The following is a 17,887-nucleotide window of genomic DNA, read 5'->3' as shown; positions in this document are numbered from 1 at the left end:
AGGGTCAAAAATAGGCAGGTTACTTACTTAAAAGGTGGCATTTTGCAAGCAGAATGGATACTCAGAGAAGAAGATGGACAATGTGAGGACAATCAGAGGCAGGAAAAGATGTAAGGAATTTGGAACAGTCCAGGCTCCCCATGTAGCACAGTGGTCTGACAACTGGGAGTCCTCTCTGAGAAAGAAGGGAAGGCTCAGTGCTGCCGGGAGCACTCTGATTACTCCTTGCTCTGTAGGCTCTGGCAGCCCTTCAGACAACATCACTAGCTCCCCTGCTCCCGCTCCTGCAGTGTTTCATCCCTCTTTCTTCACTTACTTTCACCTCCCTCTCGGGCACCCAGTGTGTTACTGATGTCTGCATTTGTTTCCTGACAAGGAAGAACGTGATCTGATCCAAATATACCCAGAGGTATTAAGGTTGCAGTGTGCTACTTTTCCTAAGATGTTTATACCTGGAGACTATTTGCTTGTTCAACAATTAAGCACTGACTGAGGGATACACACTAAGCCTATAAGCACAAGAAAATTAAATCTCTGCCCTATTTCCTGGTCTAGAAAGCGGAATACACATGTAAACAAGCACTTGCACACATTATAAGATGTTCTTAGTCACACAAAGAAAGAGTGATGGTTCTGGTTTGGGTAGGGCAGAGGGGTGAAAGTCAGTAGGCCTTGTAAGCAAGCAACAATTGGACAGGTCTGGAAGGATGAAATTAATAGACTCAGGAAGTGCAGGCACTCCCCAGCAAGTACAGAAGCACAGAGGCAGTGAGGCAGCATAAACATGAGCAGTAACTTAGGGAAATTATTGTGAAATGAAGCATAACTGATTCCAAATGACTTGAGAATTACATGTGAAGAGGGCAGAGGCAGAAGATGAAATTGTAGAGACCAAATTGTGCAGGAGCCACCTCTGACACGCTAAGCAGTGTGGACTTTATCTTGTAGCTGTAGTTCTCAGCACCAGTGAGTGCAAGAATCAAGCTGTGAGTGTCAGACATGAGAATAGTAGATACAACTAAGAGAAGAGAGAAATGATTGAAAGGGGAACAAGGGGGCTTCTGAAGTGCTGGCAAGCAAGGCCCTCTTTCTTGTTCTGGACCATGGTTATGTGGATGTTCACTTTGTAATCATTGAACTGCACATTTATGCTTTCTGTACTTACTGTACACTATACTTCTCAATTGTGAAAAAGTATTTTTAAGAAAATCAAGCTGGATTATTTATTGAAAACAGATTCCAGGATCTCCCTGTCAGACATACTGATTAAGTAGGCCTGGGCTGGCACTTGGGAAATCTGTACTTTTTAAATGATTACCTTAGTGAAGGATCTGAAGCCAGAAGGGACCCCTAGACCACACTTGGAGAACACTGCTAGCCCTTTTGGGGAGCCATCGAAAAGATTTAAGCAAGATGCTAAGAACAGAGATTTGTCTGTCTGAATGTTCTGGATAAAGGGGGAGGAAGAAGTTGAGGGTGGCCTCCACCTTATGCCTTATTAGCACTTGCAGGTTCTGTGTCCCATTCCTTTTGTGTTTTTAAGAGATGTGACAAATAAGGTGCTAATGACTTATAAGTACTAAATATGATTTTTGAGATGTGTTTTCTTTTGGAGTTTTCTTAAATATGAAAATTTTGGACTTCAGCACTTTAGTAGCTGAATTTGAGACATGGAACAAGCCCCTGGGGTAGATATTCTGGGGTAGGGAGCAACTTTGTAGAATTTCTTAAATGAGGGCATTCTCAGCCTGTGAGTCATAGTTGTTCCACTACTGACCTACCGTCATTACGACATACGCTTAGTGATGATTGATTTGCATGGATGCAGTTAAATTCATTTTCTTATGCCCCTGTATAATCAGAGGGATATTTTTGAGACTTAAAGCCTCCAATATGGTATTCTTCCAAACTTTAATCCTTCTGAAAAAAATATAACAAGTTTTGTTGCAAAGTTTTTCCTTTGCTGCTGACAGTGATGGAAATAGAAAGAGGAAACCTTACTTGGCCTTAAGCAGAGAATGAGAAAATCCAAAAATCTGACACAAAATTTGCACAGATTTTTTTTCCTCATAATTAAAGTACTAAGGAAATGCCATAAGATGATTCTTTGTGAGCAGAGCTCATCCATTCATCAGATCAGTAAAAATTTTAAAAGTCTGACAGCACAAAGTGTTGGCTAGGATTAAGAACATAGAAACTGCCTTTAATTCCAATATTTTGGGAGGCCAAGGCAGGAGGATCACCTGAGTCCAGGAGTTAGCAACTAGCCTGAGCAATATAATGAGATCCCGTCTCTACAAAAAATAAAAACTTAACCAGGCATGATGGCACACGCCTGTGGTTCCACCTAGTGGGGAGGCTGAAGTAGGAGGATTGCTTAAGCCTGGAGTCCAAGGCTGCCGTGAGCTATAATCATGCCCCTGCACTCCAGCCTGGGCCGCAGAGTGAGAGCCTGTCTCAAAAAACAAACAACATAGGAACTTACTTCTGTTAAGAGTATAAATTGGTACAAACACTTTGGAGAGCAATTTGGTGGTATTTAGTTAAGTTAAAGGTGTGCATACTCTGTGACCCAGAAATTGCACTCCTAGGTGTAGTCTCTGAGAAGCTCTCTTACCTGTGCCCAAGGAGATACATACAAGAATATTCACAGCAGCATAGAAAAAATTGGAAATGATGTATATTAGATCAACAGAAGAATTTATGGGTAAATTGTGAAATATTCAATGAATATAGCTCTGAAAATGAATGAAATAGATATGCATATCTCCCATGGAAGAATCTCACAAACAAGATGTTGATCAAGTTGACCAAAAATCAAGTTGCAAGACCAGACGCAGTGGCTCATGCCTGTAAATTGGGAGCACTTTGGGAGGCCAAGGCAGGAAGACTTCTTGAGGCCAAGAGTTTGAGACCAGCCTGGGCAACACAGCAAGGCCCTGCTCTACAAAAAATAAAATTAGCCAAGCCTTGGTGGCACATGCCCATGGTCCTAGCTACTCAGGAGGCTGAGGTGGGAGGATTCCTTGAGCCCAAGAGTTGTAGGCTGCAGTGAGCTATGACTGCACCAATGCACTCCATTCTGGGTGACAGAGCAAGACTCTTGTCTCTTAAAAAAAAGATTGCAGATGAATGTGTAGAATATATTTCTATCTAGGTTAAAAACTTGCAAATGCTATTGTTGTGTGGGAAACAACAACCATTGTTGCTGCAATGGTAGCCTGTAAGTACACTAACAGGCAAGCTATTCAAGGGATCACAGAACAAGAAAGGCTTATGGACCAAAACAAAATCCTCAAATCACGTGGCTTATTAAATCAATTTAAAACACACCATAAGAAGCTAGGTGAAAGACATGGAGGGGGTTAACACATTTAAGATGTGTCACAGGAGGCAGGGTGGAAAGATGACAACACCTGAATCCTCAGTCCTGTCTCTCCCTGCCACATCAGCCTTCCTAACCAAGTGTTTGCTTGCAAAGATCAGAGTTGAGATTTAACCAAAGCAGCCCAACAGACGGGTGTTTAGGGTCAAAACACACAGTTGCTCTAAAGTCTTGGGAGCAGAGTGGGTCTAGCTGACAGCAGTAGCTCATCAGTTAACCTCATGAACAGCTATGGATTTTATTTATATTTCTTTTGCAGAGGATATGAGGAGCCAACGGTTGGCCAGATTAAAACCTTTTGAATAGGGAATGCCTGATATGCCTTAAGTATCTTCAGTGCGTCATGAAAGTTGGATGATTCAGGGCCTCACATGTATCATGACTATTAGGTGTTTCTTGTTCTTTCCATCTCTTTCTAATTATGTTCATTACGCAAATGCACTACTACATTTTGTAGGAATTTTGCTTGTTTCATAAGCTACTTGCTTCAATTCTTAGTTTCATTTTTTTCTCCCTATGTGTTTGTTTCTCTTATTTTGTATAGCAGAATTGAATATTCTTAAATAATTAAACAAACACACATTATAAATACATATGTAATATGGTTAAAATAAAAATAAATGCTTAGAAAGATTAATCCCCAAGTTCAGGATTTGCCTAACTATGGTAGAGGCATAAAGGGGTGCATTAAGGATGGAATTTACAGGACTTCAGTTATATTGGTAATGTTTTGTTTCTTAATATGGATGCTGGGTATGTGGGTGTTTATTATATTATTATTTATAATTTTATGCATCTGAACTTTTTAAAAATAAATTTAAGAAAAGTTTGAAATAGTAAATACCTGGAGTCTTACAACAGACATTTGATACTTTTCTTTTTTTTAAGACACAGAATCTTGCTTTGTTGCCCAGGCTGGAGTGAAGTGGCACAATCATAGCTCACTGTAACCTCAAACTCCTGGGTTCAAGCGATTTTCCTGCCTCAGCCTCCCGAATAGCTACAACTATAGGCATGTGACCACCATGCCTGGCTAATTTTTTAATTTGTTGTGGAGACAGGGTCTTGCTTTGTTGTTTAGGGTGGTCTTGTATTCCAGGCCTCAGGTGATCCTCCTTTATCAGTCTCCTGAGTCACTGGGATTACAGGTGTGAACCACAGTACCTGGCCTTATCATTTTTTATTTTAATAAAGTTAAAGAATTTGACTAGGCCAAGTTAATTGATATGTTATCTCTCTATTGCTAGGTACACACATGTGTTTTTTAACAAACATTTGCTGAGTACATACTATTTGCAAGGAAGGCATTGTACCAGTTGACATGGGAGATGAAAAGTTGAATATGGGCTGGGCGCAGTGGCTCATGCCTGTAATCCCAGCACTTTGGGTGGCTGAGGCAGGTGGATCACCTGAGGTCAGGAGTTTGAGACCAGCCTGGCCAACATGGTGAAACCCCGTCTCTACTAAAAATACAAAAATTAGCTGGGCATGGTGGTGGGTGCCTGTAATCCCAGCTACTCAGGAGGCTGAGGCGAGAGAATCACTTGAACCCGAGACGCAGAGGCTGCAGTGAGCCAAGATCGCGCCATTGCACTCCAACCTGGGCAACAAGAGCGAAACCCTGTCTCCAAAAAAAAAAAAAAAAAAGGAAAAGTTGAATGCAACAAAATTCTTACTCTCAAGTAGGAATTACTCTCAAACTTTCAGTTTAGTCGTGGAGTTGACACTACTGCAACAATTAGTACAGTTCAAAGGCATGATATATGTGCCTCAAGTAAAGTACAAATTGTGGGTGGTCCGAGTAGGTGGAGCTTCATTCAGAGGGTGCAATCAGAATGCACTTAAGAGGAAAGTGACATTCGATCTGGACCTTAAAAGAAGTAGATTTCAACAGGGAAAAATAGGAAGGCATTGCAGGACAAGGAAATACAATGCACAAAGAAGTAAAGAATGGAGTGTTCAGAGCAGCAACGTGTCTAAATTGTTGGATGGGTATGGAAGAGTACTGCAACGGTGGGTGGGAAGGCAAGTTAGGACAAGAGTCCTCTACAGCATTAACAGGTTATCTGTGGATGGGATTATGAAGGATTTTTATTTTCTTTGTAATATTCTGTATATTCTATAATGACCACATATTACTGCTTGGTCATGGATTTTTTTTTAATTGACATAACAGGATTTCATTTGTCGCCTGCCAAGTCATTCCAGTTGCCCCCCTTAGTTATGGAAATGTTGGGAATAGAGTTTACCCATCCTTCTGGTATTATGCCATTCTCTGAAACCCAGGGTAAACAAAGTTGGTCCCTGATGAAGTGGTTGGATAATATGAGGATGGAGCCCTGACCATCTGGAAAGGCAAGGACACATATTCTACCCTGCTCTTTTCAAGATTGATCAGGGTAACCTGGCCAAGGCCCATTATCAGAGAACAGTAATGAGGACCTGAAATAAAATTATCATTAGGAATCAGCAAACCTAAGTTGACATCCTGGGATAAATTTAAGGGCTTAGGCATTCTTGGAGGAAGCACAGCATGTGGCTAAGTTAGAAGCTTCTTGGGATCCAGCTACTTTGGTCCTATGCTGAGAATACAGGAAATGGTGACTATCATTGACTGAGAGGGACTCCAAGAGACCTATAATTGTAGGACCCCAGGTTGGGGCCCTACATGGCTAGGCAGGGCCAGATGCAGCAAGGGCATTTGCCACAGCATGGACCATGCAGGACCATACTTCCACAGAGCCCTGTGAGGCTGCAAGGAAGGAGAGCACTAGTGAAATGGTCAAGCTTCCCACTTCCCTCTAGACCTAGCAATGGAAACACAACTCACCCTTGTCACTCTTTGGATCCAGTAAGACCATAGTGTCTTTTTCTTTTCTTTTCTTTTCTTTTTTCTTTTTTTGAGACAGAGTCTTACTCCAGTTGCCCAGGCAAGAGTGCAGTGGCGTTATCTCAGTTCACTGCAGGCTCTACCTCCTGAGCTCAGGTGATTCTCCCACCTCAGCCTCCCGAGTAGCTGGAACTACAGATGCGTGCCACCATGCCCAGCTAATTTTTGTATTTTTAGTAGAGATGGGGTTTTGTCATGTTGCCCAGGCTGGTCTCGAACTCCTGGACTCAAGCAACCTGCCTGCCTGGGCTTCCCAAAGTGTTGGGATTACAGGCATGAGCCACCATGCCCAGCCCATGGTATCTTTGGACAATTTGGGGAAAGTCTATATTGGACTGTCTCCTGATAGGGTAAGTGAGGATTTGAGAAATTAATTACAAAAATAAAAGTCATGACTATAACAATAAAGTGGTTTTGTGGATTAGGTTATACAGTATTGATCTATATTATCCAAATATTCTGCAATCAACATGTGTTAATATATAATCTGAAAGAAGTTGCTTTTATAAGTCTTATTCTAAATTACCAAATTAGCTTTAAAATATAACATATGCTCTTTGGTACATATTCAAAATAAAAGTAGTAAAATATTAATATAAAGTTTTTTTTACATTGATCTTATAAAACCACTTGATCTTGTAACTGGTCTCTGACAATGTCTAAGGTTTGTTTCCTTGACCAAAAGGGCTTTGCTGTACTGTCAACACTGAGAGCCTAAATAAAAATGCAACACGATTGTAGCAAAGTTGATGGTGTCCTGTAAGGCCCATTCCACACAACCAGCAAAGTGAAGCTATGTTGTGTGATCATCCTGCTGTTTTCTAATCTATTTCCTTTGGTTGGATATGTAAGCATCTTGGAAACAGTTTCTTCCCCATCTAGAACTCTGCAAGTCTCATACAACATCTTCAAATAATTTAAGTTGGTCATATCTTTACAATTCTTGAGATTTTTGTAGCTGATACGCTTGGCCTGTTGAAATATTAAACAGATAAAATCTGCAAAGTAGTATTATCATTTTTTATATTTGTTTTTCTGCTGTGTGACTCAGATCTTTTTTTTTTTTTAATTAGAAACAGGGTCTCACTATGTTGGCCAGGCTGGTCCCAAACTCCTGGCCTCAAGCAATCCTCCTGCCTCAGCCTCCCAAAGCACTACGACTACAGACATGAGCCACTGTACCTGGCCAATATTATGATTTCTCGAACAACACTGAGATTTAAACTGAGTGAAGTTAAATTAGAAAATTCTGTTACTAGTTCAAAAGGTTCATGAAAAAACGGAATTAAAAGATAAAAATAAAGTATATAAACTTCATTTCTCAACATAAACTCCAACAGGTTCAAGACATTTTTATAAGTGATAATAGCCATTTAGTCCATCCCTAAAGAACTGAGGGTTCTATGAAATTAACCAGGTCAATGTAGTCTTTTTCACATTATTAACTGAAAAAAAAAGATTTAAGGATTTTTTTAGGAAACAAAAAGTCAGAAGGAGCCGTATCAGGACTGTAAGGTGGATGCCTAATCATTTCACATCAAAACTCAAAGTATTGCCCTTGTCTGGCAGGGCAGGGTGTAATCCCAGCACTTTGGGAGGCTGAGGTGGGCAGATCACAAGGTCAGGAGTTTGAGGCTAGCCTGGCCAACATGGTGAAACCCCGTCTCTACTAAAAATACAAAAATTAGCTGGGCGTGGTGGTGCTGGCCTGTAATCCCAGCTACTCGGGAGGCTGAGGCAAGAGAATGGCTTGAACCCAGGAGGCAGAAGTTGCAGTGAGACGAGATTGCTCTGGGCAACAGAGCGAGACTCCATCTTAAAAACAAAAACAAAAATTGCCCTTGTCTGATGAGAGGAATGAATGAGCAGGAGCATTGTTGTGGTGGAGAACTCTTTGGTGAAGCTTTCCTGGGCATTTTTCTGCTAAAGCTTTGGCTTTCTCAAAACATGCTCATAATAAGCAAATGTTACTGTTCTTTGGCCCTCCAGAAAGTCAACAAGCAAAGTGCCTTGAGCATCCGAAAAAATCCTTCACCACGACCTTGGTTCTTGATGGTCTGCTTGTGCTTTGACTGAAGCACATCCCCCTCTTGGTAGCTATTGCTGTGATTGTGTTTTGTCTTTAGGATTGTACTGGCGAAGCCATGTTTTATTTCCTGTTACAGTTCTTTGAAGAAATGCTCTGAAATTGTTGATCCCACTTGTTTTAAAATTTCCGTCAAAAGCTCTCCTTTTGTCTGCAGCTGATCTGGGCACAACGGTTTTGACACGCATCAAGTGGAGAATTTGCTCAACTTTAATTTTTCAGTCAGAATTGTGTAAGTGGAACCAACTGAGATGTCTATGGTGTTGGCTATTGTTTCTGCTGTTAATCATTGGTCCTTTTCAATTAGGGCTCAAACAAGATGAGTTTTAACTCACAAATTGACGTGGATGGTCTGCTGCTCTAGGCTTCAGCTTTAACATTGTCTCACCTCTTCTTAAAATGAATTATTCTATTTATAAACTGCTTAGTTTTGGGGGGCATTGTCCCAATAAACTTTTCATTAAAAGTTAATGATTTCATCATTCTTCCAACCAAGCTTCACCAAAAATTTAATGTTTGTTCTTGCTTCAATTTTAGCAGAATTCACGTTGCTCTGATAAGGGACTCCTTACAAACTGATATCTTAGTGCCTCGAACTAGATCCTTTTCAGACATGTTATAACAAGTTAGTACAAGTTTATTTTGGTGCAAAAAATTTTTGACATCTATGCATAGTTTTTTCATAATACGTATTTCAATGAACTTTTTAAAGACCGCTTGTGTAATGTGTTTTACTTGTCTAAGTTCCCTACTAAATTGAAAGCTCATGGGAATCGGGCTGTGTCATGATGGCTTCCAAAACTTCAGCATTTGACCTGGTGCAGAGCATATAGCAGCTGCAAGATAAATCTGATGAATTGTTTTTTGAGGAGGAGTTAGTGAGCAGGGCCAGGCGCAGCTAGGACTGACGCTCTGCACAATTCTGGACCAAAAACATAGCTTTCACTATTTGGATATGTCATCTGTCTAATTCTGGGTTCTTAATTGAGTTTGAGATTCTTGAGATTTTGGATAGTTAAACTCAATGAAAGAATTATGATTGTGCTTTGTGGTCAGAAGCCTTATGGAGTCAACATCTGAGGAGAGGATTTTTGTTGCATGGAAGAGAAACTAACTTCAGGCCAGGCGAGGAAGTAGCACAATCTCCTGGGGGACTAGAACCAAGAGCCAGGAAGCTTCTGGGAAGCCGGGAAGCTGGCTTTTTCTCATGTCTATTTTTCTCACTGTAGATTTATTTTTCTTTCTCTCTCTCTTTCACTGCCTGCAGGATCAGCAGATCTGTTTTCACTACCTCAAGGTACACAGCCCCAAACACTGCCCATCCCCAGCTCCCCATGCACATCTTTCCTGTTGGAGAAACCAGGAGAGAGATGAGCATTTCTGTTCCAGTTCCGAACTCCCCAGAGAGATTCTGATGGGCCCAGCTTAGGTCAGGGGATAGTCTTCACTCAAGAGTTCCTGAGATAACAGAGACTGGAGTAGCAGGCATTGCAGAACTGATTTTATAAAGGAAGAACGTGTACCATAAATATTGCTAGTTAAGAGCATGTATACTGTTGAGTTCTACCTCCTCAGAAGTCTAAAAGGTTTCCTTCCTTTGAGGGTGAAGAAGCAGTAACAGGCGTCCTCCATCAGACCCCTCTCTGTGGGCACCTAGAACACTTCCCATTGACGTCTGCTTCAAGGGGAGGTCACTAAAAGTGCCCCACATGATGCAGCAGACATTTCGCTGGTCCCAGTGCCCTCCCCAAGACCTTCCAGATGGTGAAGTGTTAAGAGTCTAAAATGGAGTAAATGATCTGCAGAAATTCAGTGGTGTCAGAGGAGCCAGTCCAAAGTCACTCGGCTCTAAACGCTGCGATTCTATTATTTTAATGATGCCCAGGAACACAAAGAGGCACGACAGACCCAGAGGCAAGTGTGCAGCTGCCAGGGGAGCAGCTGGAGGGACTGCGGGGGGCTGCTGGCCGGCCAGTTCCCAGTGGGAGGAGGGACGCGGTAGGCGCGGGAGGAGGAAGAGCGCAGTGCGAGGGCGGAGCCGCGGTGGCCTGCGCGATGCAGTCTGTTGCGCTCAGCTTATTAGCTTGGCACACGGATAGAAAAATGTACGTTTGAATCTATTTCTGGCTTTCAAATGTGTGAAGAAAACACATAACTTTATTATTTTATTTTTGTAAAGTTAGAGACAGATGCCCCTAAAGCATATGCATTCTATAAGAAATTCCTATTCTTTGGTGGCACATCTTTGGAAGCAAAAATCAAGGACAAATAGGTCATCTCTAAGTTTTCTGCAGGAATATTGGCAATAAAAAGAATAGAGTCAACACTGGTAACTAATGGAGATGAGGGAAATACAATCTGGGAAGATGTTAAGGTTTTTTTTTTTTTTCCCTAAGAACTTTTAAAGGAAAAACAATGAAGTAAGTGTTGATGTAATATGAATATGTTATTACTTGTTAAGTGCCAAAAATACTGCAGATATAAATAACCTTTTAAAATGTAGTCAAGAAACATTTGAACACTTATAGAAATTCCCTCACCAGAGGTGTTTGGAAATCTTCAAATCTTAATATCCTTTTGTGAATGGTCAGAGTAAATCAGAAATGAAAGAAATCTGGAAAAATAAAAACACATTATCTGTGCAACAAAAGCATTCCTAGAAGGGGTTGTTATGATAAATAGAACTCCAACTGGAGTGCCATATAGTCAAAGAAAAGTCTTATAAAGCAAAATACTGCAAGATTTATTTATTCAAAAACTGTTGTTGAGCACATTCTATGTGCCAGGCACAGTGCTAAGCTTGGGACAACACGGGAAAATAAAATGGACGTTGTCCCTGCATGCATGTCCCTCCCCAGGCTTTTGGTGTGTAGAGAAAGTACCATAACTGCCAAATAAGTAAATAGTTGAATGGGGCCTTAGAGATCAGTGTGACAAAAAACAAGTGTAGATGTTAATCCATTTCAAAATACTCTTCACAGACTTTCAGTATTCCTATGATTTTCTGGAAATGAGACAGGAAATCAAATAATATTTTTTTGAAGAGCTGAGGTCCAATTTTCAATATGTAATCCAGTTCTTTTCAGGAAGTGTTAATCATGTGATTCCTATTACCATTAAAAACCGTCATCATCCTGTAATACTGACCATCTGTTTCAGATATGGCACGCACACTTGGGAAACCCAGAATAATGGGAACTCAAAACTGTTATTCATTCGAGAGCTCATCAGTCCAAGAAGATGCCACCTTGGTCAGATGTGGATGAGGCATGACTGGACCGACCCTGTGGGCTCGGCACCCACCTGTGCTATAAACTGTTCATGTGAAAACTGTGTGCCCCTGGGTTGTCTGACCTGCAGCTGTACCGCACTTTTAGTACAATGCCTGCCACCCACAGGAGTGTTGTCACAATTGAAGTGAATGCTATAAAGCATTGTGAGCAACTCAAAAGAAGGGTGCTGCTTAACTACCCAAAATTACTATACACCCACAGGTAAAGCTCTCTCTCTCTCTTTCTCTCTCTCTCTCGACACTCTTAATATGGTAATATAAAAGGGCATTCCTCAGGGTACATTTAAATGTCTGTGTGTGTTTCATTCCATTTGTTATTCATTTTAACTTTTAAATTAATTATTATTTTCAGGATGTTATCCTTGCACTAAAGGAAACCTATTAATTTAATGCTTCTATGTCACTACTATGGACTGAATATTTGTGTCCCCCCAAAATTCATATGTTGAAATCCTAACCCTCAATGTGCTGCATTGGGAGGTGTGGCTTTGGGGAGGTGATTATGTCATGACGACAGAGTCCTCATGAATAAGATTAGTGCCCTTATAAAAGAGACCCAGAGAGCTCTTTCACCCCTTTCTGCAATGTAAGGACATAGTCAGAAGACCACAGTCTATAAACTGGTAAGCTGGTCCCTACCAGACACTGAATCTGCATCTTAATCTTGGACTTCCCAGCCTCCAGAACTGTGAGAAGTAAGTGTAGTTTAAGCCACCCAGTCTATAGTATTTTTGTTACAGCTGCCTGAATGGAGTAAGACAGTCACCATGTTTGAAAAAGAGACATATTTGGGTCTCTAGAAGCTGCCTGTCTGTTAATTTATGACTAAAATTAATTTGGTCATGATTTCCTCTCTAAATCTAGATTATTTGGCCATGTGTCAGAAACACATGTTTGGGAATTTATTTGGCTAGATGGCTTGGATTGAAGCCTCAAATTTTAAAAAGAAAGAAAAAAAGCACAACTAAACAGAAGCTAATCAATGTAAATACCTGACAGCATTGAAGCAGCCAGGGACGATGGTGGCCTAAAGCATCATAGATAGCTGTTTAGCTATCTTTTTCTGTATAGCTTGCTTTTACTTTTCCTTTCTTTCTTTTATAAAATAACAGCTTTATTGAGATGTAATTCACATATCAAAAATGCATCCTTTCAACGTGTGCAATTCAGTGTTCTTAGTACATTCACAAAGTTGTGCAACCATTGACACTAGTTCCAGAATATTTTCATTACCCGAAAAAGAAGCCCTATGCTTATTTGCAATTACCCCATTCCCCCTTTCTGAGGCCCCTGGAAACCATTAATCTACTTTCTGTCTCTACAGACTTGCCTCTTCTGGACAGTTTATATAAATGGAATCATACATTATGTGGATTCTTTCATTCAGTATAATACTTTCAAGGTTCATCTATCTTTTTTCCTTTTTATGGCCAAATAATATTCCATCGTATGGCTATAACACACTCTGTTCATCAGCTGATGGACATTTGGGTTGTTTCCACATTTTAGCTACTATTAATCATGTTCTGTGAACATGAGTGTACAAGTTTTTGTGTAGACATGTTTTCAGTGCTCTTGGGTGTATACCTAGCACTGGCATTGCTGGGCCATATGGCAACTCCATGGTTAACTTTTTGAGGAACTGCCAAGCTGTTTTCCAAAGTGACTGCATCATTTGCATTCTCACCAACGATAAATGAGGATTCAGATTTCCCCACATCCTTGTCAACACTTTTTATTGTCTATCTTTTTGATGATAGATGATTTAATGGATGTGAAGTGGTTTCTTGTGGTTTTGGTTTGCATTACCCTAATAACTAATATGGTTGAGAATCTTTTCATGTGATTACTAACCAACCTTTCTTTGTCTCTCCTTCACCCCTACTATTCCCAGCCTCTGGTAACCATGAATCCACTCTCTACCTCCATGAGATCCACATTTAGCTCCCACATATGAATGACAGCATGTGGTATTTGTCTTTCTGTGCTCAGCTTATTTCACTCAACATAATGACCTCCAGATCCATCCAAGTTGCTGTAAATGAAAGCATTGTATTTTTTATGGCTGAATAATATTCCACCGTGTATATGTACCACATTTTCTTTATCCATTTATCCATTGATGGACACATAGGTTGATTCTATATCTTGGCTATTGTGAATAGAGTAATAAATATGAAAATGTGGATACGTCTTCCATATACTGATTTTCTTTCTTTTGGATAAAATGGATTAAAGACTTAAGTCTTTAGCAGTAGGATTGCTAGATTATATGGCAGCTCTATTTATAATTTTTTTGAGGAACTTCTATACTGTTTTATAGTGACTATACTAACATTCCTATCAACAATGTATGGGTATTCCCCTTTCTCCACATCCTCACCACCATCTGTTGTTTTTGTCTTTTTGATAAAAGCCATTTTAATTAGGGTGAGATGATATCTCATTGTGGTTTTGCTTTGCATTTCCCTGATGATTACTGATGTTGACCATTTTTTTAATACCTGTTGGCCATTTGTATGTCTTCTTTTGAGAAATATCTATTTGGGTCTTTTGCCCCCCAACTCCTTTTTGGAGATAGGGTCTCACTATGTTGCTCAGGCTTGTCTCCAACTCCCTGGCTCAAGCAATCTTCCTGCTTCAGCCTCCTAAGTAGCTGGGATTACAGATGAGTGCCATGTGCCTGGCTCTGCCCATTCTTTAATCAGATTGTTTTTTGCTATAGAGTTGAATCTTTCTATATTCTGCTTATTAATTCCTTGTGAGATGGATAGTTTGCAAATATTTTCTCCCGTTCTGTAGGTTGTATCTTCACTTTGCTGATTGTTTCCTTTGCTCTGCAGAGGTTTTGTGTTTTTTTAAAACTTGATATAACCCCATTTGTCTATTTTTGTTTTGGCTGCCTGTGCTTTTGAGGTCTTTTCCAAAAAATCTTTGCCTAGACCAGTGTCCCGAAGCATTTCCCCCAATGTTTTCTTCTAGTTGTTTCATAGTTTTAGGTCTTAGATTTGTCTTTAATCTACTTTGATTTAATTTTTGATATGATGAGATATAGAGGTTAGCTTCATTCTTCTGCATCTGGTTATTCAGTTTTCCCACCACCATTTATTGAAGAGGCCATCTTGTCTCTGATATATGTTCTTGGCACCTATGTTGAAAATGGGTTAGCTGTAAATGCATGGATTTATTTCTGAGTCTCTACTCTGTGCCATTGGTCAGTGTGTCTGTTTTTATGCCAGTAGCCTTTCTATTGGCTACTATAGCTTTGTAGTGTATTTCAAAGTCAGGTAGTGTGATGCCTCCAGCTTTGTTCTTTTTGCTCAGGAATGGTTTGGCTATTTGGGGTCTTGAGTGGTCCCATTAGAATTTTAGGGTTTTTTTTTCTATTTCTGTGATGAATGTCATTGGTATTTTGATAGAGATTGTATTGAATCTGCAGATTGCTTTGGGCGGTATGGTCATTTTAATGATATTAATTCTTCCAATCCATGAGCATGGAACATTTTTCCCTTGTTTTGTCCTCTTCAATTTTTTCATAAGTACTTTATAATTTTCATTGCATAAATCTTTCACTTCTTTGGTTAAATTTATTCATAGGTATTTTGTATAGTAAATAGGATTGCTTTCTTGATTTATTTTTTAGACTGTTCACTGTTGGCATATATAAATGCTACTGGTTTTTGTATGTTGATTTTATATCCTGAAACTTTATTGAATTGGTTTGTCTGTTCTAGTTTTTTGGTGGAATCTTTAGATTTTTCTAAATCTAATATATTGTTTGCAAACATTATAATTTGACATCTTTATTTTTAATTTGGATATTCTTTATTTTTTTTCTAGCTTAATTGCTCTGCTTAGGACTTCCAGTATTATGTTGAATAAAATTCTTTGGCCATTTAAATTGTTTTTTAATTTTTGATCTTATTTTGACTTTTAAGAATTCTTTATATATTCTGATACAAATTCCTTATTAGATAAGGGTCCGTGGTGTGTCTTTCCCTTTATTGAAGCACAAAAGTTTTTTATGGTGATGATGTCCGATTTTTGTTGTCGTGCTTTGGTGTCATATCTAAGAAACCACTGCCCAATCCCAAGTCACAAAGGTTTACTCTAATGTTTTCTTCCAAGAGTTTTATAATTTTTACCCTTACATTTAGGCCTTTGATTTATTTTGAGCTAATTATTCTATAAGATGAAAGGTCAGAATCCAACTTCTTTCTTTTGCATGCAAATATCTAGATGTCTTAGCCTTTAATTTTTTTTTTTTTTAAGAGACTGCACTCTAGCCTTGGTTTTTGTCTGTCACCCAGGCTGGAGTGCTGTGGCATGACTATAGCTCACTGCAACCTCGGCCTCCTGGGCTCAGGAGATCCTCCCACCTCAGCCTCCTGAGTAGCTGAGACTATAAGCTCACACCACCACACCCAGTTAATTTTTTAAATTTTTATTTTCTTGGAGACAGGATCTTGCTATGTTGCCCAGCTGGTCTTGAATTCCTGGCTTCAAGTGATCCCCCAACATCAGCCTTCTGAGTAGCTGAGATTACAGGTATGGGCCACCACACCCAGCTTCTCAGCACTTTATTTATTTATTTTTGAGACAGAGTCTCACTCCCCAGGCTGGAGTGCAGTGGCATGCTCACTACAACATCCACCTCCCAGGCTCAAGTGATTCTCCTGCCTCAGCCTCCCAAGTAACTGGGACTACAGGTGAATGCCACCCTGCCCAGCTAATTTTTATTTTTAGTAGAGACGGGGTTTCACCATGTTGGCCAGGGTGGTCTTGAACCCCTGACCTCGGGTGAGTCACCAGCCTCAGCCTCCCAAAGTGCTGGGATTACAGGCATGAGCCACCATGCCCAGCCCTCAGAAGTATTTATTAAAAAGAATAGTCTTTCTCCTTGAATTGTCTTGACAGGTTCCCTTGTAGAAAATTAATTGACCATCATGTGAAGGTTTCTTTCCAGACTCTCAATTCTATTCCATTGATATTTATGTCTATACTTATGCCACTACTGCACTGTCTTGATTATTGTAGCTTTGTAGTAAATTTTGAAATAGGGACATATGAGCCAATTACTGCAAAAAAAAAAACCCAAAGACAGATGGAATTTTTTATATGTATTGCATTGAATATATAGGTCAATTTGGGGAGTACTATAATCTTAACAATATTAAGTCTTCCAACCCATGAACATAGGATGTCTTCCATTTACAGTCATGTGCCACTATAATGGCATTTTGGTCAATGACAGACCACATATATAATGGTGATCCCATAAGATTATAATACCATATTTTTACTCTACCTTTTCTATGTTTTAATATGTTGAGACGCACAAATGTTTACCATTATGCTATGGTTGCCTACAGTATTCAATGCAGTAACATGCTGTACAAGTTTGTAGCCTAGGAGCAATAGGCTATGCCATATATCTGCAGAGTGTATAGTAGGCTATATACAATCTAGGTTTGTATAAGTACACTCTGTGATGTTCGCATGACAACAAAATCACCTACATCTAACAACACATTTCTCAGAATATAATCCCATCATTAAACAACTTATGACTATATGTAGATCTTCTTTAATTTCTTTCAATGGTATTTTGTATTTGTTGGTGTAGATCTTTTAGATCTTTTACTCATTTTGTTAAATTTATTATTTTATCCTTTTTAGTGCTACTATGAATGAATTTTTGAAATTTCATTTTCATATTGTTCATTGCTAGCATATAGAAGTATATTGATACTTGCATTTTGATCTTGTATCTTGCAACCTTTCTGAATTTAATACTTCCAATAGTTTTTTAATAGATTCCTTAGGATTTTCTGTATACAATATTATGCCATCTGTAAATAAAGATGGTTTCATTTTTTACTCTCCAATATGGATGCTTTTTATTTCTTTTTCTTGTCTAATTGCCTTGTCTAGAGCTTCTTGTACAGTGTTGAATAAAAGTAACAAGAGTGGGCCTTCTTGTCTTTTTCTGGACAAGGAAAATCATCTAGTCTTTCACTATTGTGTATGATGCTAGTTGTGAGGTTTCTGTAGATGACCTTAATCAGTTCATTAAATTCCCTTCTATAACTCTCTTTAAATGCCATTCATGGTCAGGGCTGAATTGTTAAAACAAATGAGATCTGAAAGTTCATTTGGGATTTTATGTCCTTTTCATTATTTGTAATAAGGTATGGAAACAATGCCCACTAGAGACGGATTCTCTGTTTTTTT

General features: G+C 39.4%; 1 protein-coding gene and 1 long non-coding RNA gene across 3 annotated transcripts in view, besides 2 other annotated features; one reads left to right on the top strand and one right to left on the bottom strand.

Annotated features, from left to right (window-relative positions):
- NEMP2 (nuclear envelope integral membrane protein 2) overlaps window positions 1–17,887 on the top strand; it is a 227,365-nt gene that overhangs the window by 10,442 nt on the left and 199,036 nt on the right. The gene's annotated exons all lie outside the window — the stretch shown is intronic.
- NEMP2-DT (NEMP2 divergent transcript) overlaps window positions 1–17,887 on the bottom strand; it is a 104,691-nt gene that overhangs the window by 1,185 nt on the left and 85,619 nt on the right. The window lies entirely within an intron of this gene.
- Window positions 427–1,161: an enhancer, noted in NCBI's record as "H3K27ac hESC enhancer chr2:191501909-191502643 (GRCh37/hg19 assembly coordinates)". NCBI's record gives its function as "activates a minimal SCP1, AML or CMV promoter by ChIP-STARR-seq in primed H9 embryonic stem cells {active_cell/tissue: H9 hESC(primed)}" and the evidence as "EXISTENCE:reporter gene assay evidence [ECO:0000049][PMID:30033119]".
- Window positions 822–891: an enhancer, noted in NCBI's record as "active region_16862". NCBI's record gives its function as "activates an Ori minimal core promoter by ATAC-STARR-seq in GM12878 lymphoblastoid cells {active_cell/tissue: GM12878}" and the evidence as "EXISTENCE:reporter gene assay evidence [ECO:0000049][PMID:35858748]".

This window comes from Homo sapiens, chromosome 2 (assembly GCF_000001405.40).
Source record: "Homo sapiens chromosome 2, GRCh38.p14 Primary Assembly".
NCBI classification, from domain to species: domain Eukaryota; kingdom Metazoa; phylum Chordata; class Mammalia; order Primates; family Hominidae; genus Homo; species Homo sapiens.
Note: the sequence above shows the minus strand (reverse complement) of the source record. Positions and strands in the feature narration are given on the sequence as shown.